The sequence below is a fragment of the Homo sapiens genome, chromosome 1, assembly GCF_000001405.40.
Source record: "Homo sapiens chromosome 1, GRCh38.p14 Primary Assembly".
NCBI classification, from domain to species: Eukaryota; Metazoa; Chordata; class Mammalia; order Primates; family Hominidae; genus Homo; species Homo sapiens.
The window spans coordinates 147,474,597-147,488,753 of record NC_000001.11 but is presented as its reverse complement, the minus strand read 5'-3'; the positions used below and the strand labels follow the sequence as shown (position 1 = coordinate 147,488,753).

Below are 14,157 nucleotides of genomic sequence, written 5' to 3'. Positions count from 1 at the left end.
AAAACAGAGATATGTACACAAGATAACAATGTACTCTACAGGACAATAATTAACACTCATTAAGTGATATGTACCAGGCATGTTACCTGTACTAAGATGTTTAATCCTCACATCCTCCAACAACCCGACGGAGAAAGGCACTGATAGCCCCATTTTACAGATGAATAACTGCAGTGGAGAAGCACAATCATGCTTATTCCTCCCATTTTCAATTAATGACCACAAACCTCAAGTGGGCCTAACGCTGCCCGCCTATCATACTATATCTCTCTTCCATTTACTTTCTCACTCTCCAAGATGATTGTATACTCTCTCTCGTCTCCTCAAATCTCCAACACCTCCCCATCCTCACTTTCAGCTGATCCTAGTGCTTCCAACATTGAAGAGAAAATCAAAGTAATCAAAGAACTTACCCAATACTCCTACTAACTGCCATATATTCTGCCTCCCCACCTGGTGTCTGTGCCCCTAACTAGACCAACCTCTCCAAGTATGCGCCATCTCATACACTGTCCTCCACTCAAGGCCATCACTATAGCATTATCCCCTTTCTCCCACATTATCAATTTGTTTCTTTTGACTAATTATTTTTCTCTTGTTATTTATCCTTTGTAAAACTTCTTTTCTAATCTCATTCCCCTTCCAGCTACATCACATTTATTTGCTTCCCTTTAGAGTAAATGCCACAACCAGCTTATTCATTCTTTTTTTTTTTTTTTTTTTTTTGAGTCGGAGTCTTGCTCTGTCGCCAGGCTGGCGTGCAGTGGCGCCATCTCAGCTCACTGCAACCTCCACCTCCCGGGTTCAAGCAATTATCTTGCCTCAGCCTCACAAGTAGCTGGGATTACAGGCATCTGCCACCATGCCTGGCTAATTTTTTAAAAATATTTTTAGTAGAGACAGGGTTTCACCATATTGGCCAGGTTGGTCTCGAACTCCTGACCTCAGGTGATCCATCTGCCTCGGCCTCCCAAAGTGCTGGGATTACAGGCGTGAGCTACGGCACCCAGCAGCTCATTTATTCTTAATACTTCTAATTCCTCTCTTTTCATTCTCTTGTAAACTCACTCCAGTCAGGCTTGCACCCCCACTACTCTACCAAAACTGTTCTTGTCAAGACGGCCAGTGACTTTCACATGTTTAGATCCAATGGTCAAGTCTCAGTCCTCATCTCCCTTGACCTGTCTGCCACATTTGACATCATTGATTGTTCCTCTTTTCTGGAAACACTTTTTGTACTTGGCTTCCTGGTCACCGTACTCTTAGCTTTCTTCCTGCTTCACTGGCTCCTCCTCCTCATTTACCTTAGGTGGCTCCTACTCTTCCTTAACTCTTAACTTTGAAGTGCTCCAAGGTTCAGGTTTTGAACTGCTTCTCTTTGAATTCCCTTGGTGATCTCACGTAGCCTCAAGGTTTTGAAAGTGTCACCCAAATATTGTTGACTGCAACTTTGTCTCTAGCCCAGCCTTTCTCTTGAGCTCCAAGTTCTTATACTCAACTGGCTACTTAACATTTCTAGTTAGATGTTTAATAGGCATTTCAAACATAATAAAGCTAAACTTCAGATCTTTATGTAGTGACTGCTGTGATGTGCTGGCCACATCCCCCTCAGAACTGAGGCAGTTCTCTGCCAGCTCACAGCAAAGTCCCTCTTTAAGAATTGCCCTCAGGGACCTGTCTTGCTTAAGATAACAGTCTTACTTGAGGCACTTCCTCTCCAATGCGTGGTTGATGTGACAGAAAAAAGGCCCAGCCCCATTACCTCAGTTTGAGACAACTCTGAAGAGTCGTTGCAGCTCCATGTCGGATCAGCAGAGGCTTCTGTCACGGCTCCATCACAGTGGAGTGATGCTCGGCGCTGCATCTCTGTCTGCCCAACCCTACCCCTCTCACTGCCTTTACCGTGATGTTCCAGAGATGGGTCTCTGGGAACACCAATCTCTGTCTGACTCTGTTTCCTGAGGAACCTGACTTAAGATAATAAATATTGAGAATAGTCCTAGGAAACAGACTCTAAAAAGGATTTTGGAACTGGATCACCAGCCCATTGCTGGGAATGAAAGATCCACTACTGGTTGGTAGCTGGAATACTCACAGCCTTTGGTGTTCTGTAGTAGTTTTTAAAGCTATCATCACCTGTTTTTCTATCAGCGATTAAAAAGGATGTTGAAATTGCTATTATGATTATGGATTTATCTGTTTCTTCATTCAGGTCTGTCAGTTTTTGATGCTCTTTAAAGTACATAAACATTTAGGCTTAGGTATAACTTCTCGAAGAATTGACCTTTCTATCCTTATAAATACCCTTCTTTATTCCTGGTTATATGTTTTATTCTGAAGTATACTTTGTTTCCCTTTTGCTAGTTTACTGATGTGAGTCAATATATTTCATTTTCAGCCTCCGTCATATTTACGTTTCTTTTGTCCTTTGTTCAAGGCCCCTTTAGAAACATCTTCTCTATGAAACTTCTCAAGACAGAACTTGTTATTATTTGTAGTGTTTGTGCTAAGCATGGAGTCCACTGGGTGCAAATTGCTTGTGTTTGTTTTCATTTTACTAAGCATGGATTACATGTGTTTGCTTTAATTATGGATTGACTGCTCTTGGGTCAGACACACATCTACTGTCCAAAATATGTGGTGGGGGATGAAGGGTCATGTGATATAATATGGTTGTTTAGAGCTACCTCTTTGTTAGTGCCTATAGATGTGCCATTTCTTTAATTGAAAATAGAGAACTTTATATGCTGTATACCATTGGTGAAAAAATATAAGGTGAACCGGAAGTATCACATGATCTCTCTTAATGTTTGTAAAATTTATCTATATTTTTTGCATGTAGCTTTAGTTTGTTCACATCTTATTTAATATTGCATTGTATGAATATACCACAATTTATGTATTTTTCCGTAGATATCCATATGGAACACTGTTACTTTAAAATGATATTTAAAGTGATCTTTAAAATGCTTGTTTATACTATCAGTTTATACTAACAGTTAAAATTGTGAGGTCATGTTTCTAGGAAAAATGACCAAGTCTATAAATTATTCTGTCTTTCACCATTTCAATCTGGATATTTCTTGGATATTCAAATATTATTATTTGTTTAATGTTATTTAAAGACAAGCATCTCCCATCAAAAGTACTTGGCAGTTCAGAATATGGTAACAGTGTTCTGTAACATGAGAAACTTTGCAAATATCTGTCTTTTCTGAGTGACAATGTTGCAAGAGAAATGAAAAATGTGTCCCCCAAAACACACAAATGTTTATTGTAGTTTTATTTGTAATTGTCCCAAACTGGAAATGACCCAAATTTCTATCAAAAAAGGTGAATGGATAAAAATAGTGTGGCTTATTTATACAATGGAATACTAATCAGCATTAAAAAGTAACAAATTATTGATAAACAGATTCTCAAAATCATTTGGTCGTGTTTGGAAGATCTATATTTACATGTTCATCTTCATGATAGTGAAGGCCAAGCAAGGCATTAGGAGGAGTGGTATGGGGGAGGGGGTGGCTATATTAAAATGGCAAAGGCAACCTCTTTGAGAAAGGAGTATTTGAGATTAATCTTAAGAATGAGAATGAGCCGGCTATAGGAAGAGCTAGGAGAAAGCACTCCAGGCTGAAGGAACATCAAGTGCCAAGTCCTTGAAGCAAGAAAGGCCTTGCTTTGTCAAAAAAGAGCGACCCCCTGTAACTGAAACAGAGCAAAGAGAAGACCAGTATGAGATAGATGGAGAGTGGCAGGAGACAGGAGTGGTTGGAGACAGAGGCAGGAGCCAGATTATATAGAACCCCTACAACCTAAGGTAAGAAGCATACTTTTAAAATCAACTTTATTGGGGCTACATTATTATAATAAGATATATATATTACATATGTTGTATTTTATATATACGTAGACACATACACACACACACATACACACACACACACACTCTCTCTCTCTCTCTCTCTCACACTTCCATTGCCCAAAAAGCTCCCTCCTTTCTCTTTCTAATCAATCTTCCCCATTCTCAGCCCTGGCCTTTCTTATTTCTTTCACTATGGATTGGAATGCACACAAAAAGGAAGGAAGCTGGAGCTCTGATTGGTGGAATGCAGGTACCTCGACCATTTATAATAAGGAATTATCTCCCTGGCTTGAGAGGCTTGCAGGTACCAGACAGGAGGAACAATAATCTCAGGAATCATCTGGAGTCCCCCCAGAGCCAGAACATAGCTCAGTTACAATCATGCTAAATTTCACTAACTTAACCTTGTGAGATAATAAGGCTACTAACAGTCTAAGTGCTTCTGAACTTCATCTCCAGGACAGAGCCCATATGCGTAAGTATGGACATCCAAATGCCTTCTATGAGAGCTCATAATAAATTCACAAACTTATTATTGACGAGTACATGAGATGATTTGGGGGAAGTGCTTTCAAAGTATTTGGCTCATTAAATTACAGCTAATAGTGCTGTATTTTAATATTATAAAAATGGGAATATTTTAAAGTAAAGAAATTCAAAAATGTTATGAGGCTCTAGACACATAAGATTGTATTGTTTTCTTATTTACTCACTAAAAAAAAATCTGCTGGCTCTATTGTAAGAGAGAAGGAGAGTTTGCAGAACTTCAGGCTTAGTAGGCTACAATACTTCACATACGTGATTTCACCCAATTATGCATGTTCTGGCCCTAAAACCAAGAATATGTAATAAAGTTCCAAGTAAAACTCACTACAGCTGCATTTTTTTTTGAGGCAGAGTCTTGCTCTGTTGCCCAGGCTGGAGTGCAGTGGCACGACCTCAGCTCACTGCAACCTCTGCCTCCCGGGTTCAAGTGATTCTCCTGTCTCAGCCTGCCTAGTAGCTGGGATTACAGGTACAAGCCACCACGCCCAGCTAATTTTCGTATTTTTTTGTAGAGATGGGGTTTCGCCATGTTGGCCAGGCTGGTCTTGAACTCCTGATCTCAGGTGATTCGCCTGCTTCGGCCTCCCAAAGTGCTTAATGTTTTCACTGGATGTAGATTTCTGGGCTGACCATTTCCCCTCAGAACTTTATATCACTCCATTGCCTACTGGCTTGCATTGTTTCTGACAAGAACTCTGTGATAATTCTTATCTTCGTTCCTCTGTATATAATGTCTTTTCCTATGATTGCTTTCAATACTTTGTTTATCAGAGGTTTTTCTTTTTAAGCAATTTGATTATAATGTACCTTGGTGGCGTTGGTGTTGGTGTTGATGTTGGTGATGTGATTTCCGGTTGATATTCTTGAAATATCATTTTGGCTATCTTGTAGAAAATGAATTACAATGACGTAAGAGTGGAATCAGAAAAACCTATGAGGGGAATATATATATGTGTGTGTATATATATATGTGTGTGTGTGTGTATATGTATATATACACACATTATATATACATACACACACACACATATATATCTCTCTCTCTATATATATATTTTTCAAGACAGAGTCTCACTCTTGTTGCCCAGGCTGAAGTGCAGTGGTACAATCTTGGCTCACTGCAACCTCTGCCTCCTGGGTTCAAACAATTCTCCTGTCTCAGCCTCCCAAGTATCTGGGATTACAGGTGCCCACCACCACACCTGGCTAACTTTTATATTTTTAGTAGAGATGGGATTTCCCTATGTTGGCCAGGCTTGTCTCAAACTCCTGATGTCAGGTGATCCTGCCCGCCTTGTCCTCCCAAAGTTCTGGGATTACAGACCACTGCGCCTGACCACCATGGGAAAAATATTACAGGAATCTGAGCAAAGACTGTTAGTGGCTTGCCCAGGTTTGTGGTAGGGTAGAAGGGATAGTCTTCAGAAATACAGCATTAGGTCACGGATTGCATGCTGAATATAGTTTGAGAATTGGTGGAAGATGAATAGGGGATCAAATAAAGAGCAGGGAAAACCAAAAACTTCATTTCGAACATAATAAATTTGTAATGCCTACTAGACATTCAGGAGGAGATGTCAAGGAGGCAGTCAAATCTCTAAGTCTTAAGCCGAGGAGAGATGTATAGACTGGAAAAATAAATTTGAGAGTTGCAGACATAAGAGTTTTAAAGTTATAAGAATGGATAAAGCACTCCTAAAAGGGTGACTGAAGTACTAAAAGTTGACATCCCCTCTTGTAGGGCATGTGGTACACTTCTTAGTTTTATTTGTAAATCTCTAACCCTGTAATATTAAAGAAGGTGAAGCAGATATTGACCTTATATATGTGGAATATTCAATGCAGACTGGGTCAGTGGTGCACATACAGAAGATGTCTAAGAACCTCAGGTTGCTGGGGAAATAACCCATTGCAGTGTGGAGGACAGGACTGACCCTGGTGGCTGTTATTACAGTGGCTACCAGGGTCAGTCTTGTCCTATTATGGCTGTTCCCCAGAAGAGTAGTCAGGTAAATGACCAGGAAGACCAAGAAGAACAAGCCCTATAGGTTGGATGTTGGCAAATCCCAAGAAGACAAATTTGTTGACATGTGATTGATTGTTTACTCAAATGGCATCACACCTACAAAACAATGAGAAAAAATAAACCATAATGAAAATGTACAGAGAGCATCTTAAGTGAGTTTTGTAAACTTGTAGGGTTATGCCAAATGACTTTAGGAGCAAAGCAGCCTGGACTGTGGAGAAAAGCAAGCAGGGCTGCCTTCAGGAAGACCACCACTTCTCCTGACAGGATGGACCTTGCCATCTCAGGCTCAGGCAGCTCCCATGTTTGTATGACTGCACTAGTTCAAACCTGTGTGAATCTGTGTGTTAGAGTGAGCTCACTTTCCAAAGGCTACATAAACCTCCCTCTTAGCATTGCTTTCACTATATTATTTAAATTTATTTATATAAAGGTCTCATTATGAATATAATAGATGTTTATGAATAAAAATTATACAAAAAGATGCTTAACATCTTCCGAATTAATGTTTCACTTCAATGTATTTTGCTATGTTCTCATTCTCTTTTCCTCTCGCCCTCTCTTCTCTCCTATTCTCTTTCTGTGTCTCTGTCTTCATTTATATCTGTATATGTGTCCATATCTTCACAAAATAGATACTTTTATATTTAATTTTTGTATCTTTTAAAAACTAGTATCTTCATCCTCAGCACAGTGGGCAGCACGCCAATCTCATCATAAAAAACTAATATTGTAGCACAAACATTTTCCATAGCTTTCAGTATATTTGAATGTACAATTTCCAATGGCTGTGTAATATTCCATTATATGGAAATATATATAAATTGTATTTAATTATTCCACATTGTTCAATATTTAGGTTGTGTTCATGATTTTTCTTTTATAGAAGTATTGTGATGAGCATTTTTTATATTATATGCCATCTTTTGCTAATTTCCTTAAGATAAATGTTTGAGTTCGGTGGTTTTTTGTTTGTTTGTTTGTTTGTTTGTTTAGAGGGAGTTTCATTCTTGTTGCCCAGGCTGGACTGCAATGGCGCAATCTTGGCTCACTGCAACCTCCGCCTCCTGGGTTCAAGTGATTCTCCTGCCTCAGCCTCCCAAGTAGCTGGGATTAACAGGCATGCACCACCAGCCCAGCTAATTTTGTATTTTTAGTAGAAATGGGATTTTACCATGTTGGCCAGGCTGGTCTCGAACTCATGACCTCAGGTCGTCCGCCCACCTTGGCCTCCCAAAGTGCTGGAATTACTGGGGTGACCCCAGCGAGTTCTGTGTTTTTTAAAAGGTTTCTTGAGAATTTTTTTGAGAGAACTTTTTTTCTTTTGTATAGACTTCATTTTTCCTAATAATATGATTTCTCTTTTCAGAGTGCATAAGTTCTTAGAAATTTTAATCAGCCAATTAATTTTATGCCAATTTCTTCTGGAATATTTTCTCATTGATATAAACTGTTACTAACCCCAGACATCCTCTGTTAAATATTTTCTCTTTCCTAACAGAGCAGTCAATACGACCACCAATTTTCTACTAGTTTATTAACTTAAACTTTGAACCCATGCTGGGTTATTTTGCAGTGTATCTGTTCTAGAATTGGAGTCAGTGTAACTATGATGGAAAGGGTGGGCTTTGGTGCCAGGTAGATTTCAGTCCTGGCTTTGTCTCTGTGTGTTCTAGAAACTGTCGTCCCTGAGTATCAGTTTATTCATCTGAATGATAAAGATCATAGTATCTAACTCATATGTGTTTTAGAAGGATTAAATTAGATTACATATCAGTCCATGTAAAAAGCTTTTAAAATACAATAGTCTCATCAGAAAGCACTCTCTTCTGAGTGCTTTCCACCTGTTTTCTCACCAGCTCTGCTGCTAACACCCTAGTCCAATCTACCATCTTCTTTCCCCTGGACTATCCAATAGCCTCTCCACTGATCTCCTACCCTCTATCCTTACCTCTATTAGTCTTTTCTTCTCATAGCAGCCAGGGTGTTTCTTTATAGATGTAAATATTTTTATTTCATACCTGTGCTCAGTTTTTCAATACATTCTCATCACCTGTAGAAAAAAAATCTTTCACCTACTGGCAATAGTCTGCTGTTTTCTATTATTTCACCTTTGTTCTATCCCCATGCTTCCCATAGATTGGAAAGGGGAGTTCTTGGCTAAAAACCATTTAGTAGCTTTCCACATCAAGCAGAGTAAAGTCCAAGTCCTCAGATATTCATGGCTGCTCTTTGACCTCATTTTAAACCATTCTACCTTTTGCTCACTCTGTTGCAACTGCACCAATCTACTTTCTGCTCTTACACGTGTCTAGCACACTGGGCCCACCTACCAAATCAGGTATTAAATTTTATCCAGGTTAGCTTTTGTACTAAATAAGCCGAGGAGAGACTAGGATTCACCTGGGGAAGGTATATGGTCCTACCAGTGAGACCGTGCATAGTCAGAGCAAGGTTTAGTCACAGCAGAGAGAAATATGACAAAACACTGCATCATCTTCCACCTATTAAAAAATCACCTTTCTCAAAGGGGTCAGTATTGGAGATGTCAGGGTGAAAAAGCAGAAAGTGAGCTGACGATAGTAACTGGGAAACCTAGATATCTTTAACACTCTTAGTAACAGAAATAAGGGAAGGCTTTTACCCTAAAAAGACTGCCACCTTGTTCACTATGGTAGACATAATAAGCATTCCCAAACCTGTGAATGCAAAAGGGACTTTTTAGGTGTGATTCAATTAAGAATTTTGAAATGAGGACGCTATCCTGGATTAAGCAGGTAGACCCAATGTAATCACAAGGATCCTTACAAGAGGGAGATGGGTGGGTCAAAGTTAGAGGAAGAACATGTAATGATGGAAGCAGAGATTGGAATGATGGACTTTGAAGAGTAAAGAAGGGGCCATTGAGTCAGGGGATACAGCCAGCCTCTGGAAACTGGAAAAGGCAAGGAAACAGATTCGGTCCCAGAGCCTTCACAAGGAACGCAGCCCTAATGATATCTTCACTTTAGGATTTCTGACTTCCAGAACTGGAAGACAATATATTTGTGTTATTTTAACCCTTAAGTATGTGGTAATTTGTTATAGTAGCAAGAGGAAGCTAATACATTCACTATCACATAGACTGCATGGCTAATGATACTGTGTCCAGAATCTTTAAATGCTCTTACAATTGATTTGGGGGCAGTTCTGAAATCGGTAATTAAGTGCTGCCCAGGGGTCCATGAGATGTCAGCGTAGGAGAAGATATTAGCATGTGTTTTAAGTACTAATAGATCCTACTCCAAGGCCACTCAAAATGCTACTTATCATGTAAGGACATTGGTTGGTATGTTGCAGAGCCCAGAGGATGTCACGGTGAACTCACACTGATAAAGACATATCTGGAAGGCTGTCTTCCACTCCCTGGATGAAGATGAGGTTAAAGCTATTCCAGACATCTTATTTCATGAAGAATGGTATGACAGAGAAGGCCCTAAAGCCTGGTGCTCAGAGAAACTGGTAATGGCCCCAAAGGATGACTACACTGTGGCCAGTGATGCATGGCAGAGATTTGACTGTTGGAGGCCAAAAGATTGAGGGTCGTGATTAACTTAGTATACCACTGGAGGCTATATGAGTAAACAGCAAACTGTTCTCATAAATGCGGAATGTTGGCAAACTGACAAACTGTGTATGCCACCCAGAAGTAGTGCTGAGGGCAGTCACACCCCAAGTGCAACGTTTCTTGTGATTAGGTACATCTGAAGCCTCTTGGTAATAATATGAACCTGTGATCAATTAAGCAGCCGACCAATTGTTACTGCCGCCTCCTTGCTCTTGTTACCCAATAAATACAAAGGGCTGTAGAAGCTCCGGGAGGAGGGGGCTGCCCTTGCTCACTAGAAGCAGGGAGCTCTCTTCTTCTTCCCCTGGCCCTTTCTTTAAAACAGATTTCTTTTGTCTTAAGTTTTCATTTCTGCGTTTGTCCCTTTGTTCAGTCTTGTAATGACAGTCTCAAGTAGTGACAGTAGTAACTGTCATAATGACGGTCTCAGGTAGTAACAGTAGAAACTGTCACAGTGATGGTCTCAAGTAGTAACTGTGGCAGTCTGCCACATTTGACCATCATTATTTTTCTTTATGAATAACAGTAGGGTGCCCATGTGTATACGTAAGGACTGATATCTCTTTCAAAAGCGAGAGTCAATAATTTGTTTTGAGTAGTGAATCTGTTTGGTGAGTCAACGGTCCATAGACTACAGATGGATTGCAAAGCATAATGCAGTTCAAGGACTAAGAAAAATGAACTTACCTACATTCATGGCATTTTGCATGTAATTTCAAGAAGGAACTTCAGAATTACAAAACCTGTTGAGTTTTCATAGCAGTCAATAGATCCTGGGGTTCAAAATTCCTCATTTAGACCAGGAAGTGGGTAGACCTAGAACCATATTTAAAGAGAATGGTCTGGGCCGGGTGCAGTGGCTCATGCCTGTAATCCCAGCACTTTGAGAGGCCGAGGCAGGAGGATCATGCGGTGAAGAGATCAAGACCATCCTGGCCAACATGGTGAAACCCCGTCTCTACTAAAAATACAAAAATGAGCTGGGCGTGGTGGTGTGCACCTGTAGTCCCAGCTACGCGGGAGGCTGAGGCAGGGGAATCGCTTGAACCCAGGAGGCAGAGGCTGCAGTGAGCCAAGATCACACCACTGCACTCCTCTGTCTCAAAAAAAACCAAACAAACAAACAAAAAAATAGAATGGTCTGTGATGTGAAGATAGAGGTTTTGGAGTTTGAAGAGAGTCCTTGAAGGTATAGTTCAGTGCATGGAAGCCATTTTTTGAACATCCTAGAGTCCATGGGTGGGTATGAATTTGTTGAGCCAATTTGGACAGTCTAGGAGTGTCATTAAATGATAGTGGGAATTATTGAGAAAGAACAGGTGTTGGAAAGAAGATAATGAATGCATTTTGGAAATTTAAAGTGCTGTGGGACTCCAGGAGGAAGTGCCCAGTCAATAATGGAAAATATAGGATTGGTACTCAGGAGAAAGGCTGAAGATATCAGTTTAAGAGTCATTGGCATGAAAGTGAGTGTTGAAGCCCTTGACTGTGTATGAAATGTACCAGGGAGAGTACTTACAAAAAGAAGTTGAGGATGGGGTCTTCATATATTTAAAAGGTAGAAAAAGTTGTCAAGGAAGATCTGTGATGGGTTTCCAGATACCTCAATCTCCAGAGTCGGCTGCAGGCACTGAAATCCCCAAGGCTTAGGCATTCATTTTTTAGCAAATACACCCCTTAAATGGGTTAGGAATCTGAGTATACCTGTTACAAATTTCTCTGTAATGAGGGTGCTGCTTTTTGTGGTTTTTATCATCTCTGATGATAAACCTCAAGTTCCTCCTCCCTTGGGAGCTGGTATATTACTTTATCTCATGATATAGAAAATCCTAAATAAATATTCCAACTTGATGTAGGTGTATTTATAGAAGGAAAAGAAAAAAGGACACTTTCTATAGTTTCTCTGAGAGACACTTGCCTTGTTTTGAATAACCAAATTAACAAAAAGGATACAGATATTCAGGGTCAAAATTGGTTGTCTTTGGAATTAGTCTCATTGCTTATTTTAAATATCTTGATATGTGACTTTTATTTACTTGAAGGTAGGCCCTGAAAAATAATAGTAGATATAATAGTAGTAAACCCTTATATGGAGTTCACTGCTCTAAATATCTTATGTATATTAATTCAGTTATCTTTACCATAACATTAGAAGATAGATACTATTATGAACTTCATTTTACAACTGAGAAAAATGAGACACAGAAAGTTTAAATAAGGTGCCCAAGTTCACTCAGCTAAGTGTCAGAAGTGAGATATAAATCCAGCTTATAAGACTCTAGAGTCTATGCCATCAATGCTGTGCTATGTATCCTCTATCCTGACTTGTCACCTCTAGATTGAGTTCATTATAAACTGACAAATACGCAAATAAAATCTAGGCTATTAATTTGAAAACATGCATTTTTCACATGCCTGAACTTAACTAGGATGTTCCAAATCGTGTTGTGTATGGATACATATTAGGCAGTATTATAATAATAACATATTGAAAACTTACTAGATGCCAGAATTTGTTGAAATTGGTTTACGTGTATTAGCTATTTAATCCTTACAACACTGAGGTCATACCGTTATTCTCATTTTGTAGATGAGAAATTCAAGGCGTAGAGGGGTTAAGTGGCTATAATAATGTTATGAATTATTAGATAATATGCCATATTATATACTTATGAAATGATATGTTTTAAAAATACTTTGAAATATTTAAAGCACATGAAAAATAATGCACGCTACTTATTCTTTATTCCAAGCATTCAAGACACATGATTAATAGGCAAACGTAGCTTTTATTAAAAATTCCAAATCTCAGAGTCTCCAGGATCTTTTGAAGTATTTATTATTCAATAGAAACTTGATACTGAAGTTAAAATGCAACAATTCCTAAAGCTAAATTTAAATGGTAGAAATATAATAAGCCTAGAAGGTCCAAAGAAATACAGGCATACCTCAACAGCGTTGCAGGTTTGGTTTCAGACCACTGCAACAAAGCAAATATTTCAATAAAATGAGTCATACGAATTTTTTGGTTTTCCAGTGCATATGAAAGTTATGTTTACACTATACTGTGGTCTGTTAAGTGTGCAGTAGCATTATGTATAAAAACAATGTACATACCTTAATTTATTGCTAAAAATACTAATCTTCTGAGCCTTCAGCAAGTCTTAATATTTTTGCTAGTGAAGAGTCTTGCCTCGGTGTTGGCTACTGATTGATCAGGGTGGTGGTTGCTAAAGGTTAAGGTGGCTGTGGCAATTTGGTAACATAAGAGACCAATAAAGTTTGCTACATTGATGGATTCTTCCTTTCACAAAAGATTTTTCTGTAGCATATGATGCCATTTGATAGCATTTTACCCACAGGAGAAGGCCTTTCAAAATTGGAGTCAATCCTCTGAAACCCTATTGCTGCTTTATTAACTAAGCTTATGTAACATTCTAAGTCCTTTGATTACAGTTAAACAATGTTCATAGTATCCTCACCAGGAGTAGATTCCATCTCAAGAAACTGCTTTCTTTGCTTATCCGTAAGAACCAACTTTTTGTCCATTCAAATTTTATCATGACATTGAAGCAATTTGGTTACATCTTCAGTTTCTACTCCTAATTCTAGTTCTCTTGCTACATCCACCATATTCGCAGTTACTTCCTCCATCAAAGTCTTGAACCCTCCAAAGTCATCCATGAGAGTTAGAATTAACTTCTTCCAAAATCCTGTTCACTTTGACATTTTTGACCTCCTAAGAATCACAAATGTTCTTAATAGCGTCTAGAATAGTGAATCCTTTCCAGAGGACTTACAATTTATTTTGCCCAGATCCATCAGAGGAGTCACTATCTACGGCAACTAGAGCTTTACAAACTGTATTTCTTAAATAATAAGACTTGAAGGCAAAATTACTCCCTGGTACATGGGCTGTAAAATGGTGGTCGTGTTAGCAGGCATGACAACAACACTGATCTCATTATATATCTCTATCAGGCTCTTGGATGGCCATGTGAATTGTCAATGAGTAATATTTTGGAATAGATTTTTTTTTAAGCAGTAAGTCTCAACGGTGGGCTTAAAATGTTCAGTAAATCACACCGTCAACAAATGTGCCATTATCCAGGC

The 14,157-nt window shown here is 39.0% G+C and overlaps 1 long non-coding RNA gene and 1 pseudogene across 1 annotated transcript in view, besides 1 other annotated feature; one reads left to right on the top strand and one right to left on the bottom strand.

Annotated features, from left to right (window-relative positions):
• The window catches only part of LINC00624 (long intergenic non-protein coding RNA 624), a 135,684-nt gene that overhangs the window by 29,122 nt on the left and 92,405 nt on the right, over positions 1 to 14,157 (top strand). The gene's annotated exons all lie outside the window — the stretch shown is intronic.
• Positions 1,672 to 1,839: a silencer, noted in NCBI's record as "fragment chr1:146958668-146958835 (GRCh37/hg19 assembly coordinates)". NCBI's record gives its function as "represses an EF-1alpha promoter that drives an FKBP-Casp9 reporter gene in an ReSE screen in K562 erythroleukemia cells {active_cell/tissue: K562}" and the evidence as "EXISTENCE:reporter gene assay evidence [ECO:0000049][PMID:32094911]".
• On the bottom strand, positions 6,126 to 6,516 carry OR13Z3P (olfactory receptor family 13 subfamily Z member 3 pseudogene; annotated as a pseudogene).